Source organism: Homo sapiens, chromosome 6, assembly GCF_000001405.40.
Source record: "Homo sapiens chromosome 6, GRCh38.p14 Primary Assembly".
Lineage (NCBI taxonomy): Eukaryota > Metazoa > Chordata > Mammalia > Primates > Hominidae > Homo > Homo sapiens.
The window spans coordinates 12116966-12136577 of NC_000006.12; the positions used below are offsets into that span (position 1 = coordinate 12116966).

The following is a 19612-nucleotide window of genomic DNA, read 5'->3' on the forward strand; positions in this document are numbered from 1 at the left end:
AAAATGAGAACAAAATACTATCAGTCCAAAACTAATGAATAAATATGAAACAGTAAAGAATTTAATGGTGTGACAATTCAGTTGTCAACATAAGAGAAAAGCTTTAGAAAATTGTAGAGAAAACAAAAGGTAAAAACCTTTTCCCTAAATAAAAGAACTTTATTCCAAAAAAAGTTGACCAGAAAACGTATATGAAGATATCATAGAAGAAAAGTTTTCTGAGGTGTAAACCAAATTGCCAGAAAACAAGGGAGTATGCAAAGTTTTGAAGGGAATAGCACCAGTCAAGTGTTAAAATTAAATAGATAACTAAGTATAAACAACGATACAGATAAAATGTAAGTGTTATAAGCTTTGACAAATGAGAGAGGAGGTCATCTATATGTAAAATCAAAACGTGTAGTTCAAAAGTTCCATTTAACATATGTGTTTTTCCAATTCTTAACTCCCAGTAGATTTATAGAAAATAGTTTCTCTTATAAAGAAATATGGATCTTAAGTTTAGCAATTCCTTTATCTTAACTTCAATGTCATTTTCTTTTAAGTACAAGGTTACAGTTTTTGTTGTTGTTGTTTAAATCACATACAGTATTTCTGGGTTGAAATTTTGCATTTTTCTTTGGAGTATAAGACATTATTTAATTTTGAATAACATAACTTTATCTAAAAATAAAAGTTTATCTTAAAATGTTTGTGAAGCAGAGCAAAACAGGCATACCTACCCTGTCCAAGACTCTGGTTGAATAGGTCCTGGATGGGGCCTGACATGGGTAGATTATTTTTAAGTCCATGGTGTTTCAGCTCTGCTAGCTTCTCATCCAAGTGGTTTCTCATCTCTGTTTTTGTATTTATTTTAATAGCCTCCTGGCTTTCACCTTTATGATACCCACATCTAGCTTTTGGAAGTGGATAGAGAGACTACTCAGCCCAGGTTGATGAGCATCATTTTTCACTTTGCCTACTTGCCTGATAGAGTTAATGAGAGTCAAAAAGTGCATCACTGACTTTCTTACATTCATCTTAATAAGGGAAAACCAGTGGGAAAACATCATTTCATGAGTGAGTGGATTGGAGAATAAAAAAATGTTTGTTCAACATTTTGTAAAAGTGAATAATACTGATACTTTTTTCTATTGTTCTTTAGCTCAAATATTTTAGTTATGAGACCCCCTTTTGTTTTTTTTTTTATTATGGTGGGTAAATATATCTTTAATGGAATAGTATGCATTTTTTTCATTAAACTATGATATGAGAGCATATAAACTGATGTCACAATATTACTAGAATATTTCTAATGTAAATTTTATTCTCAATAAGTAGTTATTACAGTGTAGACATTTTGGTCTAATATGAATTTCAAATATGTACGTTGCAACAGCTATTTGAAAATAGTGGAGAATTAAGTAGTTGGCTTTCTACAAATAGAGTAATATACGATTGAATATTTTTTGTTCATATGCCCAACAATCCAACAAATGGAAACCAAAGTAAATCATGGCAAGTAATTATTGCTCAAAAATACAGTAGTTGATAGATTGTGGGCACTGTCACTTAAATACTGATTTATTTCCAACACAACTAGAAATTAAGGTGATTTCATTTCTCTTGCAATAAGTTTTACCTTCTTTCTGCCTATCTCCCTACCTGCCTACCTGCCCTACCTATTGCTAATGACAAAGAAACATAGCCATTGAATATTTTGTTGAGTTAAAGTGGTGATTTTTTTTAAACCAAGGCCCATTACAACCTTATGACTTTTTAATTTTGTTGGTAAGAAACCACAAATAAGTGGATTATTTTAGTTTCATAATTTTCTGTTCATTGATATAATTGCTACATCAGCAATACTTCATGGCTGTCCTGACTATGGTCTGCTCTAGAAATTATATTAGCAGCCCCTTTTCTCCTGAAAATATCAGTTTTGCATACTTAGAAATTTGCTGAAAAGTTTGTTTTAAAAGAACCTTAATGAGATAAGACAGTCAAATACTCAGCATTAAAGGGTTGAATTTTCTTCTTTTTGGCCAGCCTTCTCAGACTGTTGTGTAGACAGAGTCCTCAGGTATTGCTACCAAGCCAATCTAGGTCCATTTGTCTGCACACAATGAAAAGCCAAACACTGAATCACTGGATTTTTATAGAGAGAAAGATTAATGGCAAGGCAGCCATGCAGGAGATGGGCTCAATTCTGTCTTCCCTTACCAGCTTAAAGCAGTATATAAAAGGAGGAGATGCTGGAGGAGGAGTTTTGGGGTTGGTTAATGATTGTTGGAAAGGGAGGGGAGGTTTGGAAAGTCCCTTGAGCAGGCACAGTTGTCTCTTCGTGCTTCCTCATGGGTTGCCTTTGCAAATTCGGAGGGAGTTGGTGTGAAACCTGTGGTGAAAATACTGGCTTTGATATCAGAAAGTCCCTCATCTGGCAAGAAGTCTATTCTGTGCAGATCCCAATCAGCCATACCAGTTCCAACCAGCTTCAACCAGTCAACCAGTTTTGTTACAAGCAGAGGGAGTTCTAACAAGCTGTTTCTTTATCTGCAGTGCTGTAAGACAAGCTCAAAACTTCTTGTTAGTTACCAGTTTCTTTAACCCCATGGAGCACTGTTTAAGTATGATAGTGAAAAGGGGAAAGATAATTCAGTTTTGAAAGATCTAGTTCCAGGATGTTGATTATTCAAGAAAGGAACATAAGCATTCTAGAAATGCACACTTAGGTCTTTGAATGAGTGTTTCAATAGATTTTGATTGGCATCATTGTTCAATTTCCGGAATGCAGAAGTGCAATTTTATTTAAAAAATAGACTTTCCTTAAATACTTTCTTCACTTGTCATAATGTCCTTATGATAGTAATCTTAATTTTCAAAAAATTATAGTTGGTGTATGTACAATGTTACCAATTGTTTGTTGTTGTTGTTGTTTTTTCCAGAAATCTTACAGGCTGGTGTTAAAGGAACTTCGGAATCCCTTAAAGGTGTGAAACGCAAAAAGATCGTAGCTGAGAATCACCTGAAAAAAATACCAAAATCCCCACTGAGAAATCCTCTTCAGGCAAAACATAAACAAAATACAGAAGAGTCATCTTTCGCCGTTCTTCATAGTGCTTCGGAGTCTCACAAGAAACAGAATTATATTCCTGTAAAAAATGGGAAGCAGTTTACCAAACAAAATGGAGAAACACCTGGAATAATTGCTGAAGCCTCAAAATCTGAAGAATCTGTCTCCCCAAAGAAGCCCTTGTTTCTGCAGCAACCATCTGAACTGCGTAGATGGAGATCCGAAGGCGCTGATCCTGCCAAATTCAGTGACCTCGATGAACAATGTGACTCAAGTTCCTTGTCAAGTAAAACCAGGACTGACAATAGCGAATGCATCTCTTCTCATTGTGGCACTACGTCCCCCTCCTATACAAACACTGCATTCGATGTCTTACTGAAAGCAATGGAGCCAGAACTGAGCACCTTGTCACAAAAGGGCTCACCTTGTGCAATTAAGACAGAAAAACTGAGGCCAAATAAAACTGCACGTTCCCCTCCCAAATTAAAAAACAGTTCAATGGATGCCCCAAATCAGACTTCACAGGAATTGGTTGCTGAATCACAGTCTTCTTGTACCTCATACACAGTCCATATGTCTGCTGCTCAGAAGAATGAGCAAGGGGCAATGCAGTCAGCTTCTCATTTGTATCATCAACATGAACACTTTGTTCCCAAATCCAACCAACATAATCAACAGCTTCCGGGGTGTTCAGGTTTCACAGGATCACTGACAAATCTGCAAAATCAAGAGAATGCCAAACTTGAACAGGTTTATAATATAGCAGTGACATCATCTGTAGGCCTAACTTCACCTTCCAGTAGATCTCAGGTTACTCCTCAAAACCAGCAAATGGATTCTGCTTCACCTTTGTCAATAAGTCCGGCTAATTCTACACAGTCGCCCCCCATGCCAATCTATAATTCAACTCATGTTGCCTCTGTTGTTAATCAAAGCGTAGAGCAAATGTGCAATCTTCTTCTGAAAGATCAGAAGCCAAAAAAACAAGGAAAATATATTTGTGAGTATTGCAATAGAGCATGTGCAAAGCCTAGTGTGCTTTTAAAGCATATCCGCTCCCACACTGGAGAGCGACCCTATCCCTGTGTGACTTGTGGATTTTCATTTAAGACTAAAAGTAATCTGTATAAGCACAAGAAATCCCACGCACATACTATCAAACTGGGTCTTGTCTTGCAACCAGATGCTGGTGGCTTGTTCTTGTCCCACGAGTCCCCCAAAGCACTTAGTATTCATTCAGACGTAGAAGACAGTGGGGAGAGCGAGGAGGAAGGCGCCACTGATGAGAGACAGCATGACCTGGGCGCCATGGAGCTGCAGCCTGTGCACATAATAAAGAGGATGTCAAATGCTGAAACTTTACTAAAATCAAGCTTCACTCCAAGCAGTCCAGAAAATGTGATAGGTGACTTTTTGCTACAGGACAGATCTGCAGAATCACAAGCTGTGACAGAGTTACCGAAAGTTGTGGTCCACCATGTCACTGTGTCCCCCTTAAGAACTGACAGTCCAAAGGCCATGGATCCCAAGCCTGAACTTTCTAGTGCACAAAAGCAGAAGGACCTTCAGGTGACAAACGTACAGCCACTTTCAGCCAACATGTCCCAGGGTGGAGTCTCCAGGTTGGAGACTAATGAGAATTCCCACCAGAAAGGCGACATGAATCCACTGGAAGGAAAGCAAGACTCTCACGTAGGAACGGTACACGCCCAGCTACAAAGGCAGCAGGCTACCGATTACTCCCAAGAGCAGCAAGGAAAGCTCCTGAGTCCTCGAAGTTTAGGAAGTACGGATTCTGGTTACTTTTCACGTTCTGAAAGTGCCGATCAAACAGTGAGTCCACCAACTCCCTTTGCCAGAAGGTTACCCAGCACAGAACAAGACTCTGGAAGGAGTAACGGACCCTCTGCAGCTCTTGTCACCACGTCAACACCCTCTGCTTTGCCCACAGGGGAAAAGGCATTGCTTTTACCAGGTCAGATGCGCCCACCTTTGGCCACAAAAACACTTGAGGAGCGGATATCGAAGCTTATCTCAGACAATGAAGCTTTGGTAGATGACAAGCAACTGGATAGTGTGAAGCCGCGGAGAACCTCACTGTCAAGACGAGGAAGCATTGATTCCCCCAAATCATACATATTTAAAGATTCTTTCCAGTTTGATTTAAAACCAGTGGGACGGAGAACAAGTTCAAGCTCTGATATACCGAAGTCACCTTTCACCCCTACTGAAAAATCAAAGCAAGTGTTTCTTCTGTCTGTACCTTCACTTGACTGTTTACCTATCACAAGAAGTAATTCCATGCCGACCACAGGTTATTCAGCAGTACCTGCAAATATAATACCTCCTCCTCATCCACTAAGAGGAAGTCAGTCATTTGATGACAAAATTGGCGCTTTCTATGATGATGTCTTTGTATCGGGACCTAACGCTCCTGTGCCCCAGAGTGGGCATCCCCGTACACTTGTGAGACAAGCAGCCATAGAAGACTCTTCAGCAAATGAAAGTCATGTTCTTGGTACTGGACAGTCCCTGGATGAGAGCCACCAAGGATGCCATGCTGCTGGTGAAGCCATGTCAGTGAGGAGCAAGGCACTGGCACAAGGCCCACATATAGAAAAAAAGAAGTCTCATCAAGGGCGAGGGACAATGTTTGAGTGTGAAACTTGTAGAAACAGGTATAGGAAACTGGAAAATTTTGAAAATCATAAGAAATTTTACTGTTCTGAGTTACATGGACCAAAAACAAAGGTAGCCATGAGAGAACCTGAGCACAGCCCTGTGCCCGGCGGTCTGCAGCCTCAGATTCTACACTACAGAGTCGCTGGGTCCTCCGGCATCTGGGAACAGACGCCCCAGATAAGAAAAAGGAGGAAAATGAAAAGTGTTGGGGATGATGAAGAACTTCAGCAAAATGAAAGTGGAACATCTCCAAAAAGTTCTGAAGGCCTTCAGTTTCAGAATGCTCTGGGCTGTAATCCCAGTTTGCCTAAACATAATGTTACCATAAGAAGTGACCAGCAGCATAAAAATATACAGTTGCAAAACTCCCATATTCACCTTGTTGCCAGGGGCCCTGAGCAGACCATGGATCCCAAGCTGTCGACCATCATGGAACAACAGATAAGTTCAGCAGCCCAGGACAAGATAGAACTGCAGAGACACGGAACTGGAATCTCTGTCATCCAGCACACCAACTCCCTGAGCAGGCCCAACTCATTTGACAAGCCTGAGCCTTTTGAAAGAGCCTCCCCAGTTTCTTTCCAGGAGCTGAATAGAACGGGGAAGTCCGGGTCTCTAAAAGTGATAGGAATCTCCCAAGAGGAAAGTCACCCTTCTCGGGACGGGTCTCATCCTCACCAGCTTGCACTATCAGACGCTCTCAGAGGAGAACTTCAGGAAAGCTCCAGAAAGAGTCCAAGTGAACGACATGTGTTAGGACAGCCCTCAAGACTTGTCCGGCAGCACAACATCCAAGTTCCAGAGATTTTGGTCACAGAAGAACCAGATCGAGACCTGGAAGCTCAATGCCATGATCAAGAAAAGTCAGAGAAGTTCAGTTGGCCCCAGCGTAGTGAAACCTTGTCAAAATTGCCAACAGAGAAACTGCCACCCAAAAAGAAAAGGCTCCGTCTGGCTGAGATAGAACATTCCTCAACAGAATCGAGCTTTGATTCCACTCTCTCCAGGAGTCTAAGTAGGGAGAGCAGTTTATCTCACACTTCAAGTTTCTCAGCCTCTTTAGACATAGAGGACGTTTCTAAAACGGAGGCTTCCCCCAAAATCGATTTTCTAAATAAAGCCGAGTTTCTTATGATTCCAGCTGGCTTGAATACTCTGAATGTTCCTGGATGTCACCGGGAAATGAGGCGTACTGCATCAGAACAGATTAATTGCACGCAAACGTCAATGGAGGTCTCTGATCTCAGAAGCAAATCATTCGATTGTGGAAGCATCACCCCACCCCAGACAACACCACTTACTGAATTGCAGCCTCCATCTTCACCTTCTCGAGTGGGAGTGACTGGGCATGTGCCTCTCTTAGAAAGAAGGAGAGGCCCACTGGTACGGCAAATATCTTTAAACATAGCCCCAGATAGTCATCTGTCTCCTGTACACCCAACATCTTTCCAAAATACTGCTCTTCCCAGTGTGAATGCAGTGCCATATCAGGGGCCTCAGCTCACTAGTACATCTTTAGCTGAGTTTTCTGCAAATACTTTGCACTCTCAGACTCAGGTTAAGGATCTGCAGGCAGAAACATCAAACTCCAGCTCTACCAACGTTTTTCCTGTTCAACAGCTCTGTGATATCAATTTGTTAAATCAAATCCATGCACCGCCTAGCCACCAGAGCACACAGCTATCTCTGCAAGTGTCTACGCAGGGTAGCAAGCCAGATAAAAATTCTGTTTTATCTGGGTCTTCTAAAAGTGAGGATTGCTTTGCTCCCAAATACCAATTGCATTGTCAGGTTTTCACTTCAGGCCCATCTTGCTCTTCTAATCCTGTGCATTCTTTGCCAAATCAAGTTATTTCAGATCCAGTTGGAACAGATCATTGTGTGACATCAGCAACATTACCAACCAAATTAATTGACAGCATGTCTAATTCGCATCCTCTGCTACCACCAGAGCTCAGGCCCCTTGGAAGTCAGGTGCAGAAGGTGCCATCATCATTCATGCTGCCCATACGCCTGCAGAGTAGTGTTCCTGCTTACTGTTTTGCTACACTCACATCCCTGCCACAAATACTAGTGACCCAAGATCTGCCCAATCAGCCAATTTGCCAGACTAATCATAGTGTAGTGCCAATCAGTGAAGAACAAAATTCTGTGCCAACATTACAAAAAGGTCATCAGAATGCTTTGCCAAACCCAGAGAAGGAATTTCTATGTGAAAATGTTTTTTCAGAGATGAGCCAAAATTCTTCTCTATCAGAATCCTTGCCCATAACTCAGAAAATATCTGTTGGTCGACTTTCCCCTCAACAAGAATCTTCAGCTTCGAGTAAAAGGATGCTTTCCCCAGCAAATAGTTTAGACATTGCCATGGAAAAGCACCAGAAGCGGGCCAAAGATGAAAATGGAGCTGTTTGTGCAACAGACGTGAGACCTTTAGAGGCTTTGAGTTCGAGAGTTAATGAAGCTAGTAAACAGAAGAAGCCTATTTTAGTGAGACAGGTTTGTACTACAGAGCCCCTGGACGGTGTGATGTTGGAAAAGGATGTTTTTTCTCAACCTGAAATTAGTAATGAGGCTGTTAATTTGACAAATGTTTTACCAGCTGATAATTCATCAACAGGATGCTCTAAATTTGTCGTTATAGAACCTATAAGTGAATTGCAGGAATTTGAAAACATCAAGTCATCCACATCATTAACTCTTACAGTTCGAAGTTCACCTGCTCCTTCAGAAAATACTCATATTTCTCCTTTGAAATGTACAGACAATAACCAAGAAAGGAAGTCTCCAGGGGTTAAAAATCAAGGTGACAAAGTGAACATCCAAGAGCAAAGTCAACAGCCAGTCACTTCTCTTTCATTGTTTAACATCAAGGACACCCAGCAGCTGGCTTTCCCTAGCCTGAAAACTACAACCAACTTTACATGGTGTTATCTCTTAAGGCAGAAGTCGTTGCATTTGCCTCAGAAGGACCAGAAAACTTCAGCCTATACTGATTGGACAGTAAGCGCCAGTAATCCAAATCCACTCGGTTTGCCCACAAAAGTTGCACTTGCTCTCCTTAATTCAAAACAGAACACTGGAAAATCACTATACTGTCAAGCAATAACTACCCATTCCAAGTCAGACTTATTGGTCTATTCAAGCAAGTGGAAAAGCAGCTTAAGCAAGGTACTTGAAATATAATTTATCTTCAGATATGGTTTGCGCAAATTTGTTTCCATGTGTCTTGATACCTTTAAATATTTTAACTGGAAATATTTTAATTTTGAGTGACAAATTGTGCTGTAAATGTCTTATTTGAAAGACAGGGTGATATATTTACCCCAGGAGTTACATTGATAAGAGTTACCAAGAGTCTTGCAGTGATTCTATCTTGAAAGATTTTAGAAATGATTTACCCTGAGCACTTTTCTTTTTCTCAGCTAACTATATAAGTCTTTACTTAGTAGTACAGATGATCATGGTTTTACTTTGATGTTTTACTTATATTGAGGTTTTGTTTTTCTTGTTAAGTGAAAGGAAATCATGGTTATGCTTTGTTCCTCCTCATGCAGGGAAACAGGTGTAGATAATCAAAGATAGTTGTATTTCATCCTGAAATATAAGCAGAAAGCCATTTAGACTTGTCTTGAGCTTACTAGCTACACGCCCCTGTCATGCTATGTAGCTGTCTTCCAGTGTAGCTGTGAGAACCATTAGCACTAGAGAGAAGTTTCACAAAATAATTCATATACTTGGTAAGTTGATTTGGTCAAGATTTATAAAGTAATTTAAGGTCATGAAACTGTAACTTGGGGTAATTTGTGGAATCAGTCTCATTAGAATTATCAGCTTTATAAAATGGGAAAAAGTCATTTACTTGATTAGAATAATAGGTAAGCATATCACGTTCGACTCTGCATATTCAGAAGTATTTGGCCTCTGCAGATTCATAAGCATGCAACACAGGTTAATAAACATTTACAAATCTGTCAGTAGGAAAATACTGCAGTATCAGTATTACCATAGAATTATGAACAATTCTAAAGAAGGAAGTTTCTAACATTACTGGTAGGTGGAAGAGAGAAGAATTCAGCAAACATACTCCAAAGGTGGTGATACTTTAGCTAACTGTTCAAATTTTTTTTAAAAAAATAGGGATTTTTCAGGCAAAGAAGAAGCAGCTTTTTTTTTCGAGACAGAATCTCACTCTGTCACCCAGGCTGGAGTGCAATGGTGCGCTCTTGGCTCATTGCATCCTCCCCTCCCGGGTTCAAGCAACCCTCCTGTCTCAGCCTCCTGAGTAGCTGGGATTACAGGTGCCCACCACCACGCCTGGCTTTTTGTATTTTTGGTAGAGACAGAGTTTCGCCATGTCTGGTTTGGCCAAGCTGGTCTTGAACTCCTGACCTCAGATGATTCACCCATCTTGGCCTCCCAAAGTGCTGGGATTACAGGTGTGAGCCACCGCGCCCAGCAAGAATAAAAAAAAAAATTAATAATACACGAAATGACATGGAAATGAGAATAAACTTGGTTCATTTAAAGAACTCTGAAGAGTCTGGCCTGGTTAAAAAGAGTTATAATTTGGAAACATAGGTAAAAATCAAATCATGTGTATGGTGGTGGAGAACCAATGATACTTTCTCAGTGAAGGAAAGTGCATCCAAACCACCTGTGGAATTTGTTAAGTTCTCAGGCTCTAAATCTACTAAATCTTGGAAGTTAAGACCTAATAGTTAGAATTTAAACAAAACTCCGTGTATGTTCCTGAAGTGTTTGTGGAGAAGAGAAGTGGCTCTCCTTGAGTACCAAATGCCTTGGAAGAAATGTCTGGAAATGCATATCTAGATTTGGAGCTTAGGAGAGAGCTCTGGATGGAAGTGTGTAGAGTAGAGATTCTTTTGTGTAGAGTAGAGATTCTTTAGTGCATAGGTGTGATTAATGAGATTGCTCAGGGTATAAAGAAGAGGAGAGAGCCTAGACTGGATACTGGGGATCACTACTATTTAAAAAGTTGAATGGTTGAAGAAAGTCCACACTCCTGTATGGAAACTGAAAGAGTTTGATCATAGAGGAAGGATAAGAATGAGCAGAAAGTGGCATCACACAAAACACAGAAGAAGATATTCAAGGAGAGTTGTTAGGTCAAATAAAGTTGAAGGCAAATGGGTATATCTGGACTGCGCAGATCACTGGAGAGTTGAGTCTATGAGCAAGTGGCTATGGAGCATGGATTACTGGGCTTTTATCCACAACTCAAATGTTAATGCATTTATGATTCACAATGGGAAAGAACAGATAGATGCTATAAAGTAAAAGGATTTCTAGGCAAAACATGGCATTTTCAACATACAATACATAGAGTGCTCAAGCATGTAAAGACTAAGATTTTGGCATTTAGCTCATTGATAACTTTGGCAAGTAGAAGCCAGATTTAATAGTACGAAAGTGAGCAAAAGATAAAGGGGAATTTGATATTGAAAATAAAGAGGATTACTGTTAAAGGGATAAAGTCAAAGGAAGGTGTGTGCATATATTCTAAATTATGCGGAAGCCAATCTGTTTGCCAGGAAAAGAGAAGGAAAGGTTGCATCAGTAGCTCTTCCCTCTGCCTTTTTGAGGAACATGGGCCAGCAGCTTTTCTTTCCTCCTGCCTGTGTAAGGATGGGCCTCCCAAGGTACTATTCTGAGGCCACACATACCCCTCTCCATAATGAACAGACTCTTATCTCTTAGTATTATTAAGTCATTTCAGCACCACAGCTGTCTGCTTGACAATGTAATTTCTTAAAGGAGGTTTGTATAAAAGAAGCCCTTGGTAGGAAAAGTTGTGCGTTGCGTTGGATTCAGCCAGAGGATTAGAGTTTGAGCCTTTACTTAACACTTGACCTGGGACAAGGAACTTCACCCTGAGAGCGTCCTTCCTCACTGGGATATATAGTCCACCTGTGCTGCCTGCCTCACAGGGACCTGAGAGAATGGAATGGCACTATAAGTGAGACAACATACTATCAAATGGGTAGTAGCATAAAATCTTACATAAAATCATAAGGTGGTATTATATTATTATATTGTTCCTATAGGAAAACCACACATCGTTTATCATTTTGATTTTGACGTTCGTTACCTTTTTTCCAGAGACTTAATTGTTACCAAGCCAAAACCTAACTTTTTGGCTAGACCTGGATGCCACATTTATCAGTATTCAGTAAACTTTTGAGAAGATAGAAAGAATTATGGTTTTAGCTGGGCATGGTGGCTCATGCCTGTAATCCCAGCACTTTGGGTGGCTGAGGTGGGAGGATCACTTGAGGTCAGGAGTATAAGACTGGTCGGTGCAACAGAGCAAGACCCCCATTTCTATAAAATTTTAAAGGTAGCCAGGTGTGGTGGCTCAGGCCTGTGGTCCTAGCTACTCAGGAGGCTGAGGTGGGAGGACCTCTTGAGCCCAGGAGTTTGAGGCTGCAGTGAGCTATGATTGTACTACTGCACTCCAGCCTGGGCAATAGTAAGACCCCATGTCAAAAAAGATTTATGATTTAAAATAATGGAGGAAGAAAAAGTAAAATATTGGGAAATGGGGCTTCTGCTTTACCTTATAATGCACTGAAGCTGAAGGAGACTTAATGATGTTTCTAATGGGTATGAGGCATTATTTTACCAAAAGGAGTAGCTAGCTCTTTTCCATCTCCAAAAGTAAACTCTTTAAGAAATGTACTTAAATGGTAGTATGAGTGGCTGGTTAAATGGAAGAAAAAATATTTAGTCTACTAAAAAAAGTTTCTGTTAAACTTAAGAAATACCATGGTATAGGAGGTTGTAAAGCCTTTATTTGGGGGTGTCAGTGAACTGTGGTGGAATTTTAAATTAACATAAGATTTATCAGTTTGCTGTGATTGAGACAGATTCATAAGGGAGGAGATAAAGTAAATGCCCTTTGAACCTATTACTACTTTGAAATGCATTTCGTTGACCATATGCTCTGTACTCTGCCATGTTTTAATTTCCAGTGAAAGATTAGCATGCTTGTGTTTTCAGTTTTATTAAATTAGTTTCTCTCTTTTTTCCTTTCAGAGAGCATTAGGTAATCAAAAGTCCACAGTAGTTGAATTCAGCAATAAAGATGCCTCTGAAATTAACAGTGAGCAAGATAAAGAAAATTCCTTAATCAAAAGTGAACCAAGAAGAATTAAAATATTTGATGGAGGGCAAGTACAAATTTTACTTCTTAAATGTACATTTAAACTGACTTTTTAAATGTACATTTGCTTTCATGTGAATGAAGACTTAGTGCCAATTTAGTATCGATGTTGCAAGGTTTCTCAGCATATTAACAGAATCTCCATAGCAAAATATGTTAACATTATGTTAAATCATTTTATTTTGATGGAGAAATGATGACTATTTGGGAAATACTGTACAACCTTGAAGGCAGCTAAAAACTAAATTATTAGAGTGAACCTTGGTTTTCACATTGATTTACAGTAAGGAATGACCTAGAGAATCTGCTCTCAGATGAATTCATTGCCCATTAGATATCTTTGTGTATTTTGTTGTGAACAAAAACATCATAAAAGCCAATTATAGTTATAGTAAAGCTCCAAAATATTTCAGTACTTAAAATTATTGTGGTTGAATTTAGCAAAGAAGAACAAATTTTAACCAATGACTTGGAAACAGGGAAGTATTTTAAAATTACATGCAGTAGTGCAGCGCAGTGGTGCGCGCCTGTAGTCCCAGCTGTTCGGGAGGCTGAGGCGGGAGGATCATGTGAGCCCGGGAGGTTGAGGCTTCATTGAGCTACAATCACACCACTGGGCTCCAGCCTGGGCAATGGAGCAAGACTGTCTCTAAAAAAAAAACAAAACAAAATATAATATTGCAAAAGTTTGTTTGATTAGAATTAGCTATATTAAGTGTTGATGTAAAAAGCTGGAATATTCTGTTACACATGCATAAAATTGTTATTGGTTGAGTATAAAAGTTGTGCCTTGTTTTATCTTTGGGTTGAATTTTAATCATCAATATTTTCTCAGAGGCATAGTGTCCAATCTCCCTATTCATTTTTTTTCTTTAAATTAGATATAAGTCAAATGAAGAGTATGTATATGTCCGAGGCAGGGGAAGAGGAAAATACATTTGTGAAGAATGTGGAATACGTTGTAAGAAACCTAGCATGTTAAAGAAACACATACGAACCCATACAGATGTCCGCCCCTACCACTGCACTTACTGTAACTTCTCCTTTAAGACTAAAGGTATGAGATGCACATTGCTTCAAGGTCCTTTTAATATGTATTTAGGTGGGAAAGCTAAAACCCAACTGTGCGTTTTCTTTGACCGATGAAATAGCAGCTTAAATAGACTAATGTCAATTACATCTTGTCAATGTTGTAGTCTTATTACTTTATATGATTTTAGACCCATTGGGAAAAGTTTTTAATTGTACACTTTTAGAATAAATATATAATAAATATAATATTTTTAAAAGAGCAACTGCCCTTTTTAAAAAACTTAACTCCTTAAATTGCAGTTGTACAACATGATGACTAATATACCTTTTCAAGAATATTTAATTTGGGGCTGAAGAATAAAAAGAAATTTTCATGATCACAAGTAAATTCGCTGGGTGCTAAAAGATTGAAGAAAGATTTAAAATAATAACTACAGTAAACTTCTATAATAATTACACTTCTGTTTTATTGTCTGATTTTAGGAATACATAGCCATTTTTTTTCACAATGCTTTTTTTTACATAAATACTGTTAAATTTTAGCTTCAAAAATTTTCTATAGTTTCTATTAATGTTTATAAAGAAGTCTCAGAACTAATCATTAAAATTATATTTAGGACCCTTTCTGGTTTTTTAAATATGTTTTTATTTATAAGCCTCACTCATAGTTAATTTTGCCCTGTACAAGTTTCTTGATACATATAATAGGTATACTACTTTAAATGTTTGCTTCCTCCGTCAGGCTCCTTATTCATGAACAATTTATTACTTGAGATTTTAATTTTATATGCCACTCTCTAAAAACCAAAGATCTCTCTTTAACAAAGCAAGGTAATCGTGAAAACATGTCTGAGAAAACAGTAAAAAAAAAAAAAAAAAAAAAAAAAATTAATTGATTTTTAAAAATAGAAACAACTTTTATCCTTTGAGTTAACATTTACTTTTTTCTTATGCTGGTTGTCTTTGCAGTTTTTGTTTTAAAGATTGATCAACTTCTTAGCAAAATTTATTACATTTTTTGGCTAGTATTTATGGGCATTTAAAGAGAGTTATAACTTGTAACAACTACATGCTTCAAATTAGTACTCTTTAAGTGCCAGTGGTGTCTGAAACAAGAATGATGGAAAAACAAAATATTCTTCATATGGCTTTGAATATTTCAAAAAAGTTTCAAGAAATGAGAGAGGTTGGGAGGGATACTCAGGATGCAGTTTTTTAATTGTGATGTAGAACCTCCCTCTGTCATTGGAGGGTGAGTTTAAGGATGATTTTCCTTCCTGGTCCTGAGGGAGGACTCTGATAGGGTAAAGTACTTTGGTCTTTTAACTGAATTTATTGCTTTTTCACTCATTTTGATCCTATGATTAAGAAACATCTATTAGCTTCCTTTATGAGACAAGAAGCATATTTAGAAAGCTAATATTACTAATAAAAGATTATCATGTACAAAAGGATGTTATCAAATACAAGAAGATCAAGATACAATGGGAAATGGGTATTTCTCAATAGAAAGAAGAAAAAGAATGAGGCTATTTAAAAAATATTTATCAAGTAAGGGCAAAAAAGGAAGGACAACCTAGATGTGGTAAACCAAATGAAACTACAGAGATTTCTTGGCAAGGAAAAATATGATGAGTCACAAATATTAATCTTAGTGAAATTAACTCGAAGATTTTAGATAAATGTTAACTAAATGGTGGACAGTCCATAATGACCCCTGAAGAGTGAGCATTGCCTGTTAGCACTTTTCATGTCTTACACATCTCTAATATGCTGTATATCTGAATTTGCATTAAATTTGTTGTTTTGTAAGATGTCATGTGGAATTATATGGTAAATATTTATTTGAAGGAGGCTATCCTTGCTAAGGAGACTGGTGAAGAAAATGTTAGAAATTCAGGATTTCCCTTTTCTTGGCATGACACTTCTCTTTTTTTTACGGTCAGCTTCCTTTTTGAAGTCTACTTTTTGTGAATCTATGTAAAACAGATTCCACAGCACCTTTTAAAGGTAGTTAAATAATAGTAGACCTTTTTTTGAATTATGCCCCAGATTTTCACCTTCTCTGATTTACTTGCTATACTAGCCAGTAGGACTCCACTTATTATTGAAAGTGTCGGGTTACTAACAGAAGGAAATAGTGATGTGATGGCATGCTGTATAAATATGGTATGCAAAGACAGCAAAACGCTCTCAGAAAAATGATCTGTAGAGCTAAAAATTGATGCTTCTGATGGTAATGCTTACAAATCCATAATTCATTATTTGCCCTCTGAGTTTATTTTGTGAGTACATTTTCAAAATAATTTTAATTGATTTGTTTTCATGATTCTACGTTAAAGGTCAGTCAGCAGAAAACATATAGAGAGCTTGTATCTCTGCAAGATTTAGTCTCATTTATATCACAGAAAATTAGACTGCATGTAGCTCTAGGAGTCAAGAAACAAAACCTCTCATGCTTTCCAGAGGATTCAGATAAATGTTTATTAAATCTATCAGAAAAATTATTTATTAAATTAACACCAGGTTTATAAAATTGCTAGGAGATATTTGCATTTCAATATGGGCACACTTTCAATATTTTGTATATTGAAATGCAGATTTTTGTTTATTTTACATTAGGAAGTTGATTCATAATAAGTAATAGCTAAAGTTATGAGAAAATATGCTTACTAAAAACTTATATTTCTGAATTTGTCTAGTTACAATTATACATTAGTTTCTTAAAAAGTAAATAACCTGCAATGGCTGTCTATCTAGGGAGCAAAAACATTTTAAAAGAGGGCCAGGTGCGGTGGCTCACACCTGTAATCCTAGCACTTTGGGAGGCCAAGGCAGGCAGATTGCCTGAGGTCAGGAGATTGAGCCTGGGCAACATGGTGAAACCCCGTCTTAACTAAAATACAAAAAATTAGCCTGGCGCAGTGGCAGGCGCCTGTAATCCCAGCTACCTGGGAGGCTGAGGCAAAAGAATGGCTTGAACCCGGGAGATGGAGGTTGCAGTGAGCTGAGATCTCGCCACTGCACTCCAGCCTGGGCAACAGTAAGACTCCGTCTCAACCAAAAAAAAAAAAAAGAGGACTATAGTGGACCTTATAATTTGGTTTGTAATATTGTTAGTATTAACACACTGAAAACATTTTGACTTACAAGTGGAAATTTCAACCACAGTAAGATATCTAAACCATTTTTATAATTTCTTAATGTGAAAACTTTAAAGCTGTCACATAAAAGTAGAGATCTGTATAATGAACACCATTGTGTGCATAATCTTTTAATAATTGCTAAGATTTTGCCATATTTGCTTCATATTTTTTTCAGTATATTTAATGTAAATATCAGAGATAGCCAAGTGTTAATCCAGGTGTTATCTCCAGAATCACAGAAGTCAGGGTTTGATGGACCTTAGCCATCATCTGGTCTCGGCATCCTCTTAAGCCTGACCTCCTTAAGTACTAAGCTCTGGGGTCCTGCGTGGTTGGCTGAGACAAGAATGTACTATGTAGTGCAAGAATCAGCTTGTACAGGGATGACCAGTTTCACAGGCTTAGTGCATTTATCAGGAAATTGAATAGATATAGCTATTTTCCATGTGCTTCGGCTACTGCAAGCCCGAAATTTGGACCAATGATTCAGACATTTTGAGCTCTTCTAAAGACTTATTCTCAAATACTACTTTGCCTCTGCCCACTAAATTCAACATTTAGAGTTGTTTTTGTTTCTCAAAAAAGATGACTTGCCCTTGTTGGCAATGCTTTTGTGTATGGCATTATCCACTGGAGATGCTTGTTATCCTCAGAAGAATATGAGCTGTTTCCCCTGGATTCAGTGATCACTTGAGGCAGGTGTGCTAGTGGTTCTCAGCTAGCATGGTCATACTTAAAGAGGTCGATACAACAGCTGCCAGAGGAAACACTCCTTTACTGGTACTATTTTGAGACTTATACTCTGTATGTGAAATGAAATTAATACAGGAAATGCTTTCTCTTATTCCAGAAATACTGTTTATAAAATTACAATGACCCAAAATAGTTTTTCATAGTCAAGCTTGAAACTTTAAAAGGTGAATTCCAAGGTACCAGAAAAAAGAAGCTCAAAGCTAACATGGTGAACAGATACTAACAAAAAAATTAAAAGGCCTTATGGGAATCGAGGCCAGATATATGCCTACAGGCTTACCTGTCCTGAGATAGCATCTGAGGTTCCTGAAATAAGCCTAGTCCTCCTGTCCAGTGACTTTGGGCCATGTGGGAAAAACCCTAACCGCTTAAAAGTAAAACCCTATATCTATACCATGCAAAAACAAACAAAAAAACTGGCCCAGAGTCAGTTGTCTGAAGCCAATGAAACTGTTAAGGTCCCAGGCAGAAGCAATTGGAAAACTGCTTTATAGAGATGTTTCTGCAACCCAGGGTACTTAGGATTCCATGGAAAACAATCTTGCTGAGGATAAACTTACAATTAAAAGTAAAAAGCATGCAAAGAAACAAATGAGAAAGAGCCAGCAGTCATAACAAGTGGAGAATTCACACTCCAAGAACTACAGATCATAGTGTAGTCTGAACGGGACTTTAAATTAAGTATGTATAAAATGTCCCAAGAAATAAATAAGGATTAGAGAATAGAAAACATAAGGTAAAGGAGATGTTATCAAAGTAGAGGAGGCAGATTTTAAAAAGAAAATATAAACTGATAAATAACAAGGTATTAGAACATATAGATACCAAATTTTCTTTTGTTCACATTTTAGTCATTGGAGTTGTACGACCACAATCTGTACTTTTGCTTGAATAGGAATGAAATTTGCCAGTGTTTACAAATGCAATAGCAAAATCATACTACTTAAGCTTAGTAAACATTCTTTTCCCTTAAGGAAATCTGACAAAACACATGAAGTCCAAGGCACATAGCAAGAAATGTGTGGATTTAGGCGTCTCAGTAGGTTTAATAGATGAACAGGATACAGAAGAATCAGGTAAGGCTTTATACCATATTTTTCATAAATGCTATTTATAATGTACAATTTTTTTGCTTCCATACCCTTTCCATTCCCACTGATTCTGCCTAATTCTGTTTTCATTACCTCTTATTTATATGCAGTAGACTCCTAATTAGTTTTTCCATGTCTAGATTGTCCTCCTTCCTCCTTCCTATTCATCTATCCCCCACGATGTTCATCTTTCTGAAGCATGTGTCTGATCATACCTCTCCTCTGCTCAGAGGTTCTCATCGGTTCCCATCTGTCTAGAAAATAAAATGTGAACACTTGACCTTGATCAAAATCCTTTGTAATCTGCTGATTACCTACTTCTCTACCCTTCTCATTTCTCTCTTTTACCTACCCTCATGCTTGAATTTCCTGCCTACTTAACATTGATCGCTCTTCACCTTTACACCCCTCACTTAAAACCCCAGCCCTCACTCCCCACACAAACGTGGCTCCCAGTGCCCTGGTCAAAATCTCACTTTCCTTCAAGATCCAGCCAAGTCCACTGCTGTCATGAAGCCTTCTCTGATTTTCCTTTTCCACACCTCTTGCAGGAAACAATTCTTCCCTTCTCTGGACTCCTCTAGTATTTTACAATTTCCTCCCTGAAAGCATTTAATCCCCCTCTTGTTCTGAGATTATTCACGCACTCACCTGAGCTCCCACCACAGTG

General features: G+C 38.3%; 1 protein-coding gene across 18 annotated transcripts in view, besides 4 other annotated features; it reads left to right on the forward strand.

Annotated features, from left to right (window-relative positions):
* HIVEP1 (HIVEP zinc finger 1) overlaps positions 1–19612 on the forward strand; it is a 204356-nt gene that overhangs the window by 109273 nt on the left and 75471 nt on the right. For 13 of the 18 annotated variants that reach the window (XR_007059258.1, XR_007059259.1, XR_007059260.1 and 10 more), the window contains 4 exons: positions 2925–8905; positions 12794–12927; positions 13802–13977; positions 18826–18927. Coding sequence is in view for 15 of the 18 variants with exons in the window: in XM_047418699.1 (XP_047274655.1) it covers positions 2925–8905; positions 12794–12927; positions 13802–13977; positions 18826–18927 (6393 nt within the window). In the remaining 3 variants the exon portion in view is untranslated. Of the gene's footprint in view, positions 1–2924; positions 8906–12793; positions 12928–13801; positions 13979–18825; positions 18928–19612 lie in introns of those variants that run through there. The other 5 variants (XM_047418701.1, XM_047418702.1, XM_047418703.1 and 2 more) reach the window with 2 other exon arrangements.
* Positions 2124–2173: an enhancer, noted in NCBI's record as "active region_24008". NCBI's record gives its function as "activates an Ori minimal core promoter by ATAC-STARR-seq in GM12878 lymphoblastoid cells {active_cell/tissue: GM12878}" and the evidence as "EXISTENCE:reporter gene assay evidence [ECO:0000049][PMID:35858748]".
* Positions 2191–2485: an enhancer, noted in NCBI's record as "tiled region #8641; HepG2 Activating non-DNase unmatched - State 23:Low". NCBI's record gives its function as "activates a minimal TATA promoter and a strong SV40 promoter by Sharpr-MPRA in HepG2 cells {active_cell/tissue: HepG2}" and the evidence as "EXISTENCE:reporter gene assay evidence [ECO:0000049][PMID:27701403]".
* Positions 2204–2313: an enhancer, noted in NCBI's record as "active region_24009". NCBI's record gives its function as "activates an Ori minimal core promoter by ATAC-STARR-seq in GM12878 lymphoblastoid cells {active_cell/tissue: GM12878}" and the evidence as "EXISTENCE:reporter gene assay evidence [ECO:0000049][PMID:35858748]".
* Positions 2324–2433: an enhancer, noted in NCBI's record as "active region_24010". NCBI's record gives its function as "activates an Ori minimal core promoter by ATAC-STARR-seq in GM12878 lymphoblastoid cells {active_cell/tissue: GM12878}" and the evidence as "EXISTENCE:reporter gene assay evidence [ECO:0000049][PMID:35858748]".